At 37.8% G+C, this 18,089-nt stretch overlaps 1 protein-coding gene across 8 annotated transcripts in view; it reads right to left on the bottom strand.

Moving 5' to 3' along the window:
• METAP1D (methionyl aminopeptidase type 1D, mitochondrial) overlaps positions 1 to 18,089 on the bottom strand; it is an 82,478-nt gene that overhangs the window by 11,353 nt on the left and 53,036 nt on the right. For 5 of the 8 annotated variants that reach the window (NM_001322279.2, XM_047443870.1, NM_199227.3 and 2 more), the window contains 5 exons: positions 9,423 to 9,580; positions 7,218 to 7,367; positions 5,326 to 5,474; positions 4,772 to 4,814; positions 8 to 171 (listed from right to left, as the gene is read on the bottom strand). In NM_001322279.2, coding sequence (NP_001309208.1) covers positions 8 to 171; positions 4,772 to 4,814; positions 5,326 to 5,468 — 350 coding nt within the window. In that variant the 5' untranslated portion in view covers positions 5,469 to 5,474; positions 7,218 to 7,367; positions 9,423 to 9,580. Of the gene's footprint in view, positions 1 to 7; positions 172 to 4,771; positions 4,815 to 5,325; positions 5,475 to 7,131; positions 7,368 to 9,422; positions 9,581 to 18,089 lie in introns of all 8 variants that reach the window. The other 3 variants (NM_001322278.2, NR_136273.2, NR_136276.2) reach the window with 3 other exon arrangements.

Below are 18,089 nucleotides of genomic sequence, written 5' to 3'. Positions count from 1 at the left end.
GGCTTACCTGATTGTGTTTCCAATTACAGAGAAGGGAGCCCCTGCTCTGCAAGCTGCAATTGCTTCATCTCTACACCTCCTGGCAACCTCCACTAACTTTTTACCACATTCGTCCACATTGCCCACCAAAAATGTTTCAGAGGTGTCTCCATGGTAGCCATTGTAATAGACCTAAACATAAGCAGAAATTTAAAAATATGTCCTTGTTTAAAAATCTACTTTCCTAAAGTATACATTGTATTCATTTATGTATTTAGTAGACTCATGTTTTACCCTTCCAGAATTATTCATTTGCCTATCAAAAAAAGAAGAAATAGATATATTGAAACCTTGCAGAAATTTAAAAGATGAAGCCATGCAATGATATTGCAAAATTTAAAAACAACTATGTTAACTAGTATGGTTATTTCAGCATTATGATGAACAATACTACTGTAATATTTTGATTCCTCACTTTATTTCTGAGAAGACAAAATTATATAAGCAAAAATTAGTAGCCAAAGACCTTGATCTACAATTACCACAACAGGTTTAGAGAACCAAAAAGTATTTAACATAGTGAAAAGTTTCTTCAATGTCATGAAGACTTACTTGATTTTGTATTTACCAGTTCTACATTTGAAGTGATATATAATGACAAGAAGAAGTAAGATAGACATGTCTGTATTCTAACAAACAAATAGGAGAATTCAGTTCTAAGAATTGAAGTGGTTCCATATAGGAATGAAATGTGTTACAGAAAAATCCTATGTCTAGAAGTGAAATCTTAATCAAATGTTCCAGACAGCCGAACGTTAACAGAAAGCACTATATATGGATATCTAAAGAATTAGAATATAATAAAACAAGCTTAAAAGCACAATTACAGAAAGTATAATTTTATCAGTCTTCAGTGATTCAGAAGCCAAGTAGGATCTTGAAAGATACCAGATTCATTATAAATCATTGATAACCAAGCACTATAGTAAATATAAAAGGCAGAGGCAACTGTTTGGATACTGATCCTTTGATGTAGCATGGAATTTGCTACTTTGCATAAATTTGTCCTATCTAATTATTTTTCACATTTCTCTTGCTCATAAGGTAGAATGTAGAAACTGTTATAAAAAAGATGTTTATATGAGCTTTCAGTCTGTTGTGATACTGAATTAATGTCTTAAATCTGTATACTACTCTGCATTTCTTAAAAAATGCTCTCATATTCTGTGAAGGAAGCAAGAAAGGTCTTTATTAGATCTTCAGTTTATAATTCAGGAAACTGAGGCACAGATAAGTAACTTGTTTAAGGTTGGTGGCAGAATATAGAGGTAGATTCAGGTTAATATGATGGATTATTGGCTTCTAATCGAGTGTTTTCTCTACTATATCAAATTATCTTAATTACCTTGCAACAGAATAGTGTTTTATACATTTACTCCCACTTACAGTCCTTTGCAATCCAGGAAAGTATGAGTTTTTATTTTATACACTTGGCAGTATTTCACTTTGCTTCATAGGTTTTACAATTTTGAAATAGTTTGAATGTTAATAATGAAACTATTAAAAGTCTTCAGGAAACTTAGAAAAGGAATAGAGTATTCTCTTTGGACACATTGGAAACAGTAGGGAAGACTATGCTGATTTCGTTCAAAAATTCAAATTTTTATATTCTTATATTTCATTCAAAATACAAGAATACTATTTCAAAATACAAAATACGATTTCATTCAAAATACAAGAATATAAAATTTGCTAATATAGGCGTAGTCAAGAAAATGTATAAATGAATGTTTATATAACTGCTTTTTAAGTAAAAATGTACTATTTTAAAAAATCTTTATTCATCTTTTCATATTACTTTTTCCTAGCTTTGAAAATGATTACTTGAGGCTGGGTGCAGTAGCTCACGCCTGCAATCCTTTGGGAGGCTGGGATGAGAGGATTGCGTGAGACCAGGAGTTTAAGACCAGCTTGGGAAACATAGTGAAACCCCATCTCTACAAAATTAAAAAATTAACCAGGTGTGGTGGCACACGCCTGTAGTTCTAGCTACTTGGGAGGCTACGGTAGAAGGATCACTTGAGCCCAGGAGTTCAAGCTTACAGTAAGCCATGATGGCACCACTGCACTGCATCCTGAGTGACAGAGCAAGACCCTATATCTGAAAAAGTAAAAAAAGAAAAGGAAACAAAGAAAAAGAAAAAGAAAGGAAGGGAGGAAGGGAGGGAGGAAGGGAGGAACGAAGGAAGGAAGGAAGGAAGGAAGGAATATCAAAATGACTATTTGAGACTGGTGCAGTGGCTCACACCCATAATTCCAGCACTTTGGGAGGCGGAGGTGGGCGGATCACTTGAGGTCAGGAGTTCAAGACCAGTCTGGCCAACATGGTAAACCCAGCCTCTACTTAAAATACAAAAATTAGCTGGGTGTGGTGGCGTGTGCCTGTAGTCTCAGTTACTGGGGAGGCTGAGGCAGGAGAATCACTTGAACCCTTAAGGCGGAGTTTGCAGTGAGCTGAGATCCTGCCATTGTGCTCCAGCCTGGGCAACAGAGGGAAACTCCGTCTGAAAAAAAAAAAGACTACTTAAAAGATTCACTATATACAGAAATACAATACTTTTGAAAGTCTGTGGCAGTCATCTACAATTTCTATTTATACCCATAAACTAGTACTTGTACTTCATTTATTTATTTATTTATTTTTTGAGACAGAGTCTCGCTCTGTCACCCAGGCTGGAGTGCAGGGGCGCGATCTCAGCTCACTGCAACCTCTGCCTCTCAGGTTCAAGCAATTCTCCCTGCCTCAGCCTCCTAAGTAGCTGGGATTAGAGGCTCCTGCCCCCACACAGGGCTAATTTTTATATTTTTAGTATTTTTAGTAGAGATGGGATTTCACCATGTTGGCCAGGCTGGTCTTGAACTCCTGACCTCAGGTGATCCGCCTGCCTTGGCCTCCCAAAGTGCTGGGATTTCAGGCATGAGCCACTGCGCCTGGCCCTTGTACTTCATTTAACAAATATTTATTGAGCAACTACTATGGACATCGCATTGTCTTTAAGAAAAACATTTTTCAGTTTTAAAGGGGGGAAGGAAATCTAATTTCTTGTGATGTATACTAGACGTCAATAATTCTAAGATGCAATGAGTATTTTCTGATAGAAACATAGGATCTGATAATGGAGTCCTTCACTTAATAAAATATTTTATAAGAAATATAATTTGTTAAGATATGGACCTATATGTTTCCTAGATTCCTTCACATTTCTAGACACTTGGAAATATTTCACTTTGCTTTATAAGTTTTGCAATTGTGAAGTAATTTGAATGTTAAATACAAAACTGTTTATTAAGTATTCAGGAAACTTAGAAAAGGAATAGAGTATTTTCTTTGGACACACTGGAAACAGTAGGGAAGAGTAGTTGATTTCATTCAAAACATTAAAATGGTAACATTTCATGATAGGGTGACTAGATGAGAAAATAGATGTAAAACCGTAAAATCAGGTACAATCCAAAATAAAAGTGTCTCATGAAAAGAACTCTGTTTTAGGTATACTTCATAAAATACCTCCTTCCACATGATTCTGAGTTGGAAAGATACCAACAGGATGTATGTGGTGCAAGTGTTCAAGCATTTTAAGTAGGATAAAATGATACAGGAAATAGCATCAGCAATGAAAGAATCGTTGGCTATCTCCTCATATGATTGATATGAAGAAAAAAGGTTTAGTTAACTTAAACTAAAAGTCAGACTGAATTCCACCATTGGATTCCTATTTTTATCTCATTCCCACTCCTACTTCAGTTTCATGGTCTAGATACTATTCTTAAAAACACTTCCTTATTAATAGAAATTGTATTCCCTGAATATTGTCATTTCAACTAGTTCTCCTAAGATGTTTAAATTTTGTTTATTTATTTAAAATGTATTTGTTAATCATTAGATGTACAGAATTTATTTATAATCTAGGTAATCCAAAGGTATCATTACAAAATTCTTTAATAAACAGAAATGTAAAAGCACATATAATCCAAGTCTGAGAATGGTAAAAGGCTAAGAAAATGAGAAAAAGCTACATCTTGTACAATTTGAAGTCCCTATGATAAATTACTTAGGCTTGTTACTTAAAAGAAAGGCTATTAACCATTTGGTGAAAACTTAAGTTCAGACAAAAAAACCACTCTGCTTACTTTGAGCACAAGGCTCTCTATACCAGAAATGGAACTCAACGTTACCTTCAGGGATTTTAATAAATCTAGGGAACACTGCTAGCAAAAGAGTTGCTGTCCAAATAGACTGACATACACAGGCCAATGTAGCCCCTAATGACAGAGTAAGATAATGACAGGCCCCACTCAAAATCAGCAGGAAGAGGAAGATCAATCTTGGCAGAGTGAAGGAAAAATGCTGGCTTTCTTCGTGTTAGCTCATCTCATACATATCTAGCTTCAGCAGCTGCCCAGTGCTGTGGTGCTCTGCGTTAACTACACAGTGGATCAATAACAATTACACCTTCTCAAAAACATGACACATAGCAGGATTGGGTTGACATTTCACTTAGGCCAACATTGATCTCAGTGCATCTGATTGCAGCCCTAAATTCAAGTCAGGCCTGGGTTTACTTGGAATAAACACAGAGTTAAAGACAAAAAAGGAAACCAGCTGCTTGCGTCTGGGTCTAGAAGTAAACAGCACTTCCACTGGTGCAGTTCACATTTTCAATCCACTCTTCCTGTTGCTACCAGCAATTCTGAAGTTGATCAAAGACAATTTTTTATATGATTTACTCACTGTGACATCAATGTTGATAATATCTCCATCCTGAAGAGGTCGACTAAAACGTAAACAGAAAAAAAAATGGTGATAGACAGATCTCAATAAAAGGAAAATAAAAATAAATACTTAATGACTACTGTCACAAACCCAATGGGATGCAGTGATAATTTGGAGTGAAGGAGGACTACACAGGATAACTAAATCTAATCTTTATTTCAAAAGATGCACTTAATTTATTACCTTAATTTTGCCAAGAACCAAAACAAGAGTTGATAAGAAAAATTTGCCACATTTGAATTTTACCACTTATATGATTAAAATCTAAGAAGTAAAAGACATACGTAATGCACAACCCCCATTTAGATTATGCACTGCTTTAACAAACATTAAATGGTGGTGGTGTATCCATTTAGAAGTAAAATACTTCAAAATTTCTGTTTTATCATAATCAATTTCAGAAGTTTACCGGTGGGTTTCAATTGAATGATAGTGTCTTTCAACATATGTTACAGATCTTAGCTTCATGTTTTAGTTTCCAAAGGAACAATATGTTATTAAGAACTGAATACCTGTCAGGAATACCATGACAGAGCACGTTGTTTACAGAGGTACAAACAGATTTTGGAAAACCTCCATAGCCTAGAGGTGAGGGATAGGCATTATGACTGATGATTTCCCGATGAACAAGAGCATCTATCTCTTCAGTTGTCATGTCAACCTAAAATGTTAAATAAAGAAATTGTGCAGCAACAATTGAAGACATTTCTTGTATTTATCAACTATGCTATAGCAACAGTACTTCCATGTGAGACTGTATAAATTTACTATGATAAAGTTATGGTACAACATTTGAATTAATTATGATTAGTGTTAGAATCCTCAACTGTGCCTTGTGGACAATCATTTGGGCATATGATGGTGTTATGGACCATTAGGAAATAGAAATGTTAAACCCTACGATCCTCTAAATCATTTGTGAGTCATTAAATGACATAACTCCCTTTTGGCCTGAGGATTTCAAAATTATGTTCTTCGGCAATTCCTTACTCTTTCTCAATGATTGGTGCCCTGGGCTACCCAGCGCATGTGAATAAATGCTCAAAAGGTTCATCAGTTGAACCTTGAAAAGCTTGAAAAGTAGGTCAACTCGCATCTTTTTATCTCAGTAAAACATTACAGGGGTTTTGCAGCAATGGCACAGAGATTATGGTTGATATTTAAAAGAGTGAGTCTAATATAGTTTGTAGAGATTTGATTTTAAGTAATCTTCATTTCTTTCATGTCTAAATAAATGTAATTTTTAAAATATTTTTTCCTTACTAAAGGTATTCCAAACTAAATTGCTCCCAAACTAAAAGAAAACTGAAATTGAGTTTTATAAGTATATGAAGACTATTTCCATAAACTCCATAAACATAAATAAAATTCTAAAACAAAAATAAAATCTTTTATTAAAAATTAACCATTTCTTCAATAATTTTCTTCATTTTGTATATATACATTATGTTTAGCCGTGTTGTAAGTTTATTACACAGAAGATACTGTGAGTGATTTTATCTTTGAGTCTCACTTCCTAAATTCTGCCCACCTTTTGGCAGAAAATAGGCTCATATTTTTCTTTTATAATCCTTATACAGAAGGGTGCTTCAGATTATTATGAAAGAACTAAATGAAAGAACTAAATCTTTTTTTTTTTTTTTTTGAGATGGAGTCTCACTCTGTTGCCCAGACTGGAGTACAGTAGCATGATCTTGGCTCACTGCAACCTCCACCTCCTGGGTTCAAGTGATTCTCCTGCCTCAGCCTCCCAAGTAGCTGGGACTACAGGTGCCCGCCACCATGCCTGGCTAATTTTTATATTTTTAGTAGAGGTGGGGTTTCACCATGTTGGCCAGGCTGGTCTCGAACTCCTGACCTCAAATGATCCACAGCCATGAGTCACTGCGCCTGGCCTAAAAGAACTAAATCTTGTAGTAGGAAGTTGTATGTAATTACACTGCTATATTACCTACAGCTTTGTGTATGTGATCTGATCTTTCTTTGCAGGGCAAATGCAAGAAAATAGGAGACAAAGGACAAGGTAGAGCAAATCTTCAAGCACACAGAAATAATGTGGGGAGTAAAAGCTGAAACTACAGGCAGGAGTAGGGGGGCAAAAATCAAAGCTGTCTGCCATTGATCAACTTGGATAGGTTGACTGAGACCAAAGTATCTCTAGAATTCTGCTAGTTAAAATTGAATTTGGATTTTAAATTACTTCTTGAATAAACACATAAAATAATAAAATTCCTTTTCCCCATCCCAAGGCTTTACTTAATTTTTAAAAACAAATTAATTTAAAACAAATAAATTTTTAAAACAAATTAGATGTCAACCTAAAAGAAGAGTTAAGGAGAAGGAAAAAAAGAGGAGTGTTTGTTGCCCCTTATGTAAGTCGTTCTGAGGCTTGGTGAGACGCCACCTTTAAACTCTTCCCAGCCAAGAGGAGGACGTGGCGGGCCAGCTGACAAGCCTGATGAAGCCCTTGAATCTGATCTTCATTCTTAACTTCTATGCTGTCTCCCCAGTCTGGTACAATGCCTGTCGTCACATAGTCTGGCTTCTTTATGTGCTTGAGGAAAAAGGATTGAAAACGAAGATCAGAACCCAGCGCACGACAATGGGATCATTTTTTCAGACACAGCCTCCTGCTTCATGGAGCTCTGCCCTTCCTGCCGGAGCACCGACCTCCGAAGCCAGCACAACAGACCCTCCAGGCTGCCCCCAGTTCCTTCCCCTGCCCTTTTGAACTTAACATTGCCTGTTAGTGCTGCCTCTGGATGGTCTGTTAACCTTACCATGCTTTGAGTCAAACTGGACTGAAGTAGACTTCTGGTCAAAACAAACAGTAGTTTTCTCTTTTTCCTCCTCCCAACCCAGTTAGAAGCATATTCACCATTGATGAAAAATAGCACCAAGCTTCCAATTCACCAAATGGTTAATTAAGAGCACTTTCATCTTCTTAACACAAAAATATAATTTATGCAAAAGATAGCTCCCAACACCCTCTCAAAATGAACATATGTAAAAAGGCTGACTATCAAGTTCCCTAAAGCCTATTACATATACACTTTTCTTACATTTTGCAACCGTACTTACACTGAGACACTAGAATAAAATGAAACAAGTTTTATTCTTCAAATACATAAAAATTACCTAGAACATTTCCATTATTTGTCAAGAGTAAACAAAAAGCCACCCCAAAACTCAAGACGTGCAACCCTGATCACTTTTGCAGACCATTCTCCACCATGGGCAGTATTCAGGAAATAAATACCATCTTACACACAAAGCTTCTTTCAGTCCCAAGGTTTTGCACAGCTCTTTACAAACTATTTATAGTTTATAATGCATTACAAACTATAAGCATTATTGGACAGTCCACAGTTAGGCTCCACAGCAGTTTGGGACAGGAAGCTGAGGGAGATAACACTCTTCAATTGAAACATTGCAGCAGCTCTGGAAGGGCTGAGGTTAGGGCTCTCTTCTTTGTGAAGCCTGTCCTGCAGGAGTTACGGGTCTTCACTTGCTCCCCTGTTCAGATGGGTTTTCTGATACAGGTAACACTACTGCCTGGTTTGCCACAGCTGAGCTCCAGAGGAACATCTACTCTCCCACAGCTACACCACAAATGCCCACAAATGCTCACCAGGTCTCCCCCAAAGAGCCTGTGTTCTTGTCTCCACTCTGCTCTGTGATCTGGCAAGGTTATAACTTGCAGGCAGAAGGGCTGTTGGGCTGTCATGCTGAAATTGACTGAAATGGCTAAAGCAATACAATTCACCTCACCAGAGATTTCTTTTTCTTTTCTTCTAAGGAAAAAAGTGTCAGTTTTGTAACTAATACCAAATTCTCACTCTCACTGTGATGGCCAGGCCAGGGGATACATCCTGGTGGCCCTTCTGTGTCACTGGCCTTTGCCATAAAAGTGGGCCACTCACCTTCAGAAGTATAACATACTAAATATGGGCTCGCTGTAAACAAAGTTCATAAAAGGGAGAAAGCAGATGATTTTTGTGACCAATCTATATTTCTTTAGCTACTCTCCTTCTTCCTAAAGGGCTCACTCGCACACTCCCTTTATATTGCATTTTGAAAAATGGATAGATTGCCTTTCCACAGAATTGCAATCTCTGAAAAAAAAAAGCCAAGACTGCTCTGAGACATATTTTATTTAATTTAGTCTAAAAGACAATTCAAAGACACCAGCATCAATAACAAGGAAAATGTAAGAACAGGCTTAAAAAAATCTAGTATGTTAGTTTTAAGTAATCTCTTTTGAATCATCACAATTTTATAGTCAATTTTTTTTCTCTAAAACAGTTAGAAAACTACATACGTATAGTTTTATCTTCATGTTAGAAATTTAATATAGAAAATTTCATGTTAAAAATTTTAATTCTAAATACTCTAAGCAATTGAAAGCTTAGAGCTTTGTTTTAAAAAATTAATGCTATAGAATTGCAGGATATTAAAACTTCTCAAATCACAGTTTTAGATCACAAACCTAGTTTGAAAATTAAAACCCAAATGGCTCAGAAATCAAAGGTGCAAAAATATTTGATCACTTCTGCAGTCAACTTTTATCTTGGCTGGAAAAAGCAGGAGATAATAGGCAATACAGTACCTTAGGAACCGGATGAGCTGAAGAAACTGCAGCCGGCAAAACTATACTGTGTGAAATATCTCTTTGTCTCCGAAAAAAGAAATTTCTTCTTTGTTGACTGCTTGACTGCTTGTGTAAGTAGATATGATTGAGTGGTGAAGAGAAAATTCTATGAGAACCTGTGAGCAGAAACAGACATATTTTAAGTAAAAAAACAACCTAACACAGTCCTCCACTTTAAGATGTTGTGGTGTTGTCTATTAAATCATTATTCTAATACCTTATTGACTGAAAAAGGAAAAGCCCCAAATAGAAATGAAAACAGTGGTATTCTGAATTCTAGTACAATAGTAACACAGCGTATTTATTAGCTAATACTATGTTTACATAAATGCGTGACAATGGAAAACTCTACTCTAACGGGAAACAAACATATAGAAACATCTGCTAAGCACCAGGTCTGTAAAAAGAACAATTTCTGCTGTAATACCTTATGTGGCAATGTCCAAGACGACCCTAGATTCAGGGCACTGTTTTGATGGCTTTATACTCTGTAAAGCCGTTTCCTTTCAAGAATCACGGACAAATTGCCAGCTGCACTTTTTGCCCTCCATAGGATTACTACTCTGTGTTAAGTTCACGTGCAGTGAGGCATTATACTGAAATTCATTGTGATGAATGTTCAAGTCAGATAAAGACTAAATAGCAAAAATGTAAGTATAACACTGAAAGAAAATGAATATAGGGTTTGAAGTACTCACAACAGGAATTTAGAAATGTCTATCAAAATTTTAAATGCACATATCCTTTGACTCAGCAGTTCATCTCCTAGGACTTTATCCTGCAGACACTATGCACTGATGGATGAATGAAGATGTACCCTCATGGCAGCATTATTTGTGGTAGAAGAAAGTGGGAAACAACTCAAATGTTTCCAAATAGGAAATACCAGTAGGGGACTGATTAAATATATTATGGTATACTTACAGAAAATTCTGGAGCTATTAAAAAGAATAGGCTAAATCATCATCTCTATGTGTTGATATGGAAAGAGGTCACAATACACTGTTAGGAAAAAAGTGAATGCTTAACAAATACATATAAAAAGCCCATTAATGTAAAAGGAGCTTATACATTTATATAAGCTTGCACGTGCTCATAAAATTTCTGGAAATTGATATTTGTAAACAGTGGCTCTTTCTGTGGCTTGTGGTTGGGGCTAGAGGTAGAGAGGAAGACTTTTTTTTTTTTTTTTTTTTTGAGACAGGGTCTTGCTCTGTCGCCCAGGCTAAGGCAACAGTGGTGCGATCATGGTTCACTGCAGCCTTGGATTCCCAGGCTCAAGGAATCCTCCCACTTCAGCCTCTTGAGTAGCTGGAACCACAGGCACATGCTACCATGCCTGGCTAATTTTTGTATTTTTTGTAGAGATGGGGTCCTGCTATGTGGCCCAGGCTGGTTTTAAACTCCTGGGCTCAAGCGATCCTCCCACCTCGGCCTCCCAAAGTGTTGAGGTTACAGGCGTGAGCTACTGCATCCAGCCAGGAAGACATTTTGATTCATTTTATTACTTTCATATTTAGAACAATCTTTTTTTTGTTTTTTGTTTTTTGGTTTCTTTTTTTTGAGACGGAGTCTCACTCAGTCGCCCAGGCTGGAGTACAGTGGCGCGATCTTGGCTCACTGCAACCTCCGCCTCCCAGGTCCAAGCAATTCTCCTGCCTCAGCCTCCAGAGTAGCTGGGACTGCAGGCGCGCACCACCAGGCCCGGCTAATTTTTTTGTATTTTTAGTAGAGACGGGGTTTCACCATGTTGGCCATGCTGGTCTCAATCTCCTGACCTCGTAATCTGCCCGCCTTGGTCTCCCAAAGTGCTGGGATTACGGGCGTAGCCACCGCGCCTGGCCAGAACAATAGTTTTAGAAGTCCCCAACAGGTCACAACTACATGGCAGGGGTCAGAAAACTACAGCTCAAGGGCCAAATCTGGACTGCTGACTGTTTTTATACAGCACAAAACCTAAAAATGGTTTTTACATTTATAAATGGTTGAAAAAAACTTTTTAACCCAATATTTTGTAATACATGAAATTCAAATCTTGGTGCCCATAAATAAAAGGTTCATTGGACCATAGCTACCCTCATTTGCTTACAAATGTCTATGGAGGATTTTGAGCTACAGTGGTAGCTGAGTAGTTGTGAACACATGTTCCACAGAGCCTAAAAAATGTACTCTTTGGCCCTCTACAGGAGACATTTGCTGAATCCTGGTCTAGAGCAGTAGTCCTTAAAATGAGGTTCACAGACCAGCAGTATAATGTCACATAGAAAAAAGATGCAAGGCTGAGTGCGGTGGGTCACGCCTGTAATCCCACACCTTGTCTCTACTAAAAATACAAAAATTAGCCGGGCATGGTGGCGCGCGCCTGTAATCCCAGCTACTCGGGAGGCTAAGGCAGGAGAACTACTCGAACCCGGAAGGCAGAGGGTGCAGTGAGCCAAGATCGCGCCACTGCACTCCAGCCTGGGTGACAGAGCAAGACTCTGTCTCAGAAAAAAAAAAAAAGAAAGAAAGAAAGAAAAAGAAAAAAGATGCAAATTCTTGGGCCCCGTATCGACCTACAAACATAGAAACTGGTGATGGAGGCGGGCAATCTGTGCCTTAACCAGCCCTCAGGTAATCCTGACGCACACGAAGCTTGAGAACTGGCCTAGAGTAACATTTCAGCTGTGAAACATAATGAAAACGTGAATTGCAGGTAAGTACTGGCTTCAAAACTCTGGATCTCTAATTGACTTGGGGAAAGGCACTGATGCAAACAAACCGCAATGATCAGTGATTCAGGGTGATAGGTTTCACTCAATTATGTCCCTCCTTAAAGTGGACTGCAATATTGTTGAATCTAACTTATAGAGGTGTTTTTGGTACTATTTTAAACAATTTCAAGCACTAGACAAAATGTCAGTAATATCATTTCTTTAAAAAGAAGTTACAAAACTCAGGTACAGTGGCACATACATGTAGTCCCAGCTACTTTGGAGGGCAGCTGATGTGGGATTGCTTAAACCCAGGAGTCTGAGACCAGCTTGGGCAACAAAGCAAGACTCCTGTCTCTCTAAAAAAAAAAAAGTTGCTTGATAGAGGCAGGTATGTATTGTGTAAAGCTTTTAAAGTATAATATTTCCCTAATGACAATATCACCAACCCTAGTATTGTCAACTGATATATGAGGGACAGGGTAGTGTCCTAGGAAAAGCAGACAGTTGGAAGGCAGAAGCCTGGACTTTTGTTTCAGCTCTACCACTTATTAGCTGTGTGGCCCTGCACAAGTTTCTTCATTTCAGTCTCAGGTGAGAATTGAAATAAGAAATGTGAAAGTGTCTTGCATTTAGAAGATACCCAATAAATAATAGTTCTTTCAAGAATACATAAAAACCTGTAATCCCAGCGCTTTGGGAGGTCGAGGTGGGAGGATCGTGAGATCCCATCTCTACAAAAAATAAAAGAATTAGCCAGATGTGGTGGCTTGGGCCATCAGCTACTGTAGTCCAGCTACTCAGGAGTTCAGCTACTCAGGAGTCAGTCCAGCTACTCAGGAGTCCAGCTACTCAGGAGGCTGAGGCAGGAGAATCACTTGAGCCCTGGAGCTATGATCACTGAGTTATGCACTGAGCTATGATCACACCACTGCACTCCAGCCTGGGCAACAGAGTAAGATCCTGTCTCAAAAAAAAAAAAAAAGTCTGCACAAAAAATAAAATGGGAAAGAAAACATGACCTCCAGTATAGCTTCTAATACTGAACACTTATTATGCCTCAATTACTGTACTAGGCACTTTACATATGTTAGCTCATTAATCTTCACAGAAACTGTATGAATTGTGAACTGTTATTACTCCATGTCACAGTTGAAGATACTGAGGCACACAAAGGAACATGCAGTAAGTGCCAAAGCTGAGAGGGAAAGCAGGCTAAGTTGCCTCTACAAAATGTATTACTTCTCTCACAGGCATGAGAAAAAACAGGAGCTAAAACACAGGGAAATACCCAGAAAATTGAAAAGGCATCACAAAACTATTGTTACTACTACTATTATTTTTCCAAAAGTGGTGATGGGTTGGCCTAATCCACCCACTACCTTAAGCCAAGCTGCCTTCGCTGACCAAACACACGCTTTGGGGAGGTGGCTGCCAGAACTATTAGTTGGACAGTCTGTGGATATGAAATGGAAAATTTGGAAAGACACAGGTGGACTCAATCTATGATTCCACCTCCCTAATTGCATTGCTAGGCAGGACCACATACAAGACACAAACTCACAAGTGTTTCTCTTCTGAGGAAAGTATTATAATTACTATTAATAATGATAATGCTAATATAAATAGTAATAATAACAGTGGTTAAAATTTAATGGACACTTAGATTAAGCTCAGTGCTAGGTGCTCTACATACATTACCTCTTACCAGCTCTGTCATTAGGCAGGTAGCTGTTAACATCACTGCTTTATAGATGAGGAACTAAGGCTCACAAGTCTGGTAATCAATGACCAGGCCCCAAGCTTAATCCTGTAAATCCAAATCCAGGGCTGTGTCTGCCATTCCAGTTGCCTCTCAGCAGTGTGCAGGGGCTCTATGAGTTCTATTCGCTAGTGTGTTTTGTTACATAATGTATTCTTTCAGGGACTAGATTTCAAGGTCAGTTTTTTTTATCATGAAAAATGTAAATATCATGTAACTAGTTAGCATTTAGAATGAAGACACTTTTCATGAAAATTCTTAGAAATGATCCAGTTGGGAGGCACTATGGTAGTGACAACAGCATGAGCTTGGAGGTCAAACAGGTGTGAGTTACCAAAACTTCTGAGACTCATTTTCTTCACTATTAAATGGGAGTAGTAGTGCTCTCCCTACCACGAGCTGATGTGAGCATTTGCTGAGATAACATAAATAGGTAAACCATCTTTTAAAAAATAGGTGCTCCATAAATGCTCCTTTCTTTTCCTTTTCCTTCTCCATTCTTCAACATGTTTACCTGTGGGGTCTCTAAATGCCTTCATTCATTCAACAACTACTTAATGAACTCATTGCATGTGCCATGCTCTGGATTAGAGAATTCAGTGGTGAATGAGGTGACAAGGTCCCGACTCCCAGGGAGCTTACATCCTTGTAGTGGGAGGCAGACATAGGCAAATCAACAAATGCATTTGATTACATCAGACAGTGCTATGCATGATGAAAAAATAACCAAAGTGGCACAGCATTGGACAGAAAGTTCTACCCCTGGTCCTGCTAAGAGCTATGTGATCTTGAGCAATAACAATAACAGTGGATGCTGACTGACCAAGAGCTTACTGGTGCCAAGCTCGGTGCTGAGTACTTCAAAGACATTACCCTGTGAGATGCAGAAGCTCAGTAAAATGAGAGTTGGGCTTCACAATCTTTGAGGTCCCTTCAGCTCTGAAATGTGTGCCTTCATTCAGCACCATCTGATTGTCATGCTACATCCCAGGAAATGGGAAGATGTAGCCTCTGATCAATTTTAGGACTCATGAAGATTTTTTTCAATGTGGTTGATTACACAAAAGATCATCTTTATCAGTGTTATCAAGTTCAAGTACACAGTCATTATAGGGGGAATCTTTTCTATGTACTTAAACTTGAAGCATGAAGTCATCAGGCCTCCACTAGATATCTGGATGAGGCTTTTGAGACATTCACTTTTAGGATGAACAGTGTTGCCAAGGTACCTGTCCTGCCAAATGACAGCCTCACTGCCGAAAAGATGCAGACACACCCACACATGACTGGATGGTAAAATTCGAAACGTCAGGAACACAGCCTGAACATATCCAATCTGTTGACAATTATGGTTCTACACTGTATTCAGCAATTTCACTTTCATAAGACACTTTTGTATTTGAAACGAATTCTTTTCTTTCAATCTGATGAAAGACACCCTTACAAATGTTGTCACAAGGCAACAGGATAATAAGGTGCCATACTGTGTTTATTCCACTAACTACTCATTACAAATGATTCCATCTTTTTATTAGAAATAAAATCTGGTGTTTTCACAGGGGAAATGAAGAAATGGGCATAAGTCATGGTACCTTTAGAAGATAATGGTCCTCCAACTAGCCTGGCAAAGAAAGAGGGGCGGGCCCTCAACTTTGTTTATCACAATACAAATAAGTAGTAAATTTTCTAAATGCAGAGTGAGCAAAATTAAAATCCCCAGTCTCTATTATATTCAGGGTCACAGAAAGGATACCCGAACTACAGTAACTAATGTAGATCAATGTAGAAATGGTCTCTTGAATTTCCTATATAATTCATTTCTTGACAAAAGCACTGCTGATACCTTATAACTACATCTAATTTCCAAATTGCTACCACCAATGTTACAACAAATTTGATGCATGATGACCATCTTCAGAGACAGAAATAGTCCCTCCGTCTCCCACACACTATCATTCATTCAGGATTCACTGCACACGGTGTTTTGGTAAAGCTATTTGGGGAAACAAGACTCAGGTGTGTACTAATTACTACAAGGGGCAAGTGGACTAATCTGATGTTTTTAGAGACACCAGTGGGAAATCACCAGAAACCTCAGGGGAGTAGGAGAGCCCAGAACAGTGAGGAGTTGCTTTATACTAATTTGATCTTGCAAGAGATGATCGTAGTATTGCTACTGTTGATGACCTAACAGCAACTCTATATAGGGTTTTCTTAGGGAGTAAATCTACATGTTATTTTTTATGAATACTAGAATAGTTACTGTTATCAAAGGTAATAATAAGAATTATTTTTAGTGTTACAAAAATTCTATCAGCACCTAGTCTGAGTTGAACGCTGAAAATTATAGGCAACTTCTTCCTGCACTCCATGGAAGAGCACACTGTGCAGTCTGAACATCTCTTGAAATTGCTCTATGTCCTCTGGATCCTGCAGCACATTTTTTCATATTTAAAATTTGTATTTGGAATGTAAATCTAGGTTATGGTTTTAAATATTTTCATATTCAGTAATAACATCCATTTCTAAAAGCTGCATTTTATTTTCCTTTATAGGTTAAATCTGAAGGTAGGATTATAGAATTCAAGTATGATGGAGGGAGGAATGCATTTTATTTATTTATTTATTTATTTATTTTGAGACAGAGTCTTCTTGCTCTGTCACCAGGCTAGAGTGCAGTAGCACGATCTCGGCTCACTGCAACCTCTGCCTCCCGGGTTCAAGTCATTTTCCTGCCTCAGCCTCCCGAGTAGCTGGGATTACAGGCACCCACCACCACGTCCAGCTAATTTTTGTATTTTTAATAGAGACGGGTTTCACCATGTTGGCCAGGATGGTCTCGATCTCCTGACCTCGTGATCCGCCCACCTCGGCCTCCCAAAGTGCTGGGATTACAGGCATGAGCCACCGTGCCTGGCCAGGAGGAATGCATTTTAAATAACGAATGTTGCTGCACACAACATGCCCTATATTTATTGGCCTCTTACTCAGGGTCCATTTTAATTGTTATCTGCTCATGCATCCTATACCACATAATGAAATGCTTCCATTTCACCCACTGAGCCCTGGGTTTTCATGTGCACCTTTACTAATGACCCTTAATTAAGCTGATTTTATCCCTGAAAATGTGAGTTTTCTTTTGGTCAATAAGTATTTTTAAGGGAGAGGTCTGAATGAACTTTCAAAGAGACATTTAAAATGCTTATTATTTTAAGCAGTTGTAAAACTGAACAAAGTACATTTGTACTCAAGTTTGGACTACCAACACATATATTTTTCATTGTATGTTTCCAGGGAAGCACTTTCACCCTGCAGTGTGCCATCAATCCTCAGTTACGTTACACTGCAGAGGTATCAAATATCTGGGTAGAAAACAACACAATAATGTAGCTTGGCACTACTTTACATTAGCTAACAATGTCAACCAGAGATAATATGTGATTTAAAAGACACCCTGTAAAATGTCTTACTGAATATATTTTTTCATAATGATCAGTAAATGCCAAAGTCTAGTAACAAAACTATTATTTATAGCATGTTAACATCTAATTGATTTTACAAATGGAGGCAATTATTTTGGATGAAGAGAGGAATGCCTGCCAGATTTAAATGATTTATGATTACCAAGAGAGAAAAACAACAATGTTTTGCTAATTCATTTTCAAATATGGTTCTTACATTCATTGATGATTTTAATTTTAAACCAAATGATTTGCTTAATAATATATTAACTTTAACAAGAAAAAAAACCCAACTTACTTTGTGACAGCAATCTGATACATTTTTAACTGTTTAAAAATGTTGCCTCCTACAGTAAGCTCAGAAGGGACTATAGCATAGGAATATATTTTCGGGGTGCTGATTTAGACCCACAGAAAGATCACACTTCATGAACTCCAACCAATTACTCAGAGTAGGAGCACAGGCTCTTACAGCGCTGTGTGCTTCAAGTCCATGAGAACACTGCAAATGCATCCATGCCTTATATTTCTTGACCTAAAACACTGATTGCTTGACATGTTTCATAACTTGTACAAATGTTGCTAAAGAAAAATTAAATAGTCTGCATCACTTGATATAACTCTTTTATTGATTTTTATAATCTAGTACTAAGGTGTACGTTTCAAAATAAATGAGAAAGATTGAAGGTTCCTTCCCATCTCAAGGCAA

Source organism: Homo sapiens, chromosome 2, assembly GCF_000001405.40.
Source record: "Homo sapiens chromosome 2, GRCh38.p14 Primary Assembly".
Classification (NCBI taxonomy): Eukaryota; Metazoa; Chordata; class Mammalia; order Primates; family Hominidae; genus Homo; species Homo sapiens.
Note: the sequence above shows the minus strand (reverse complement) of the source record. Positions and strands in the feature narration are given on the sequence as shown.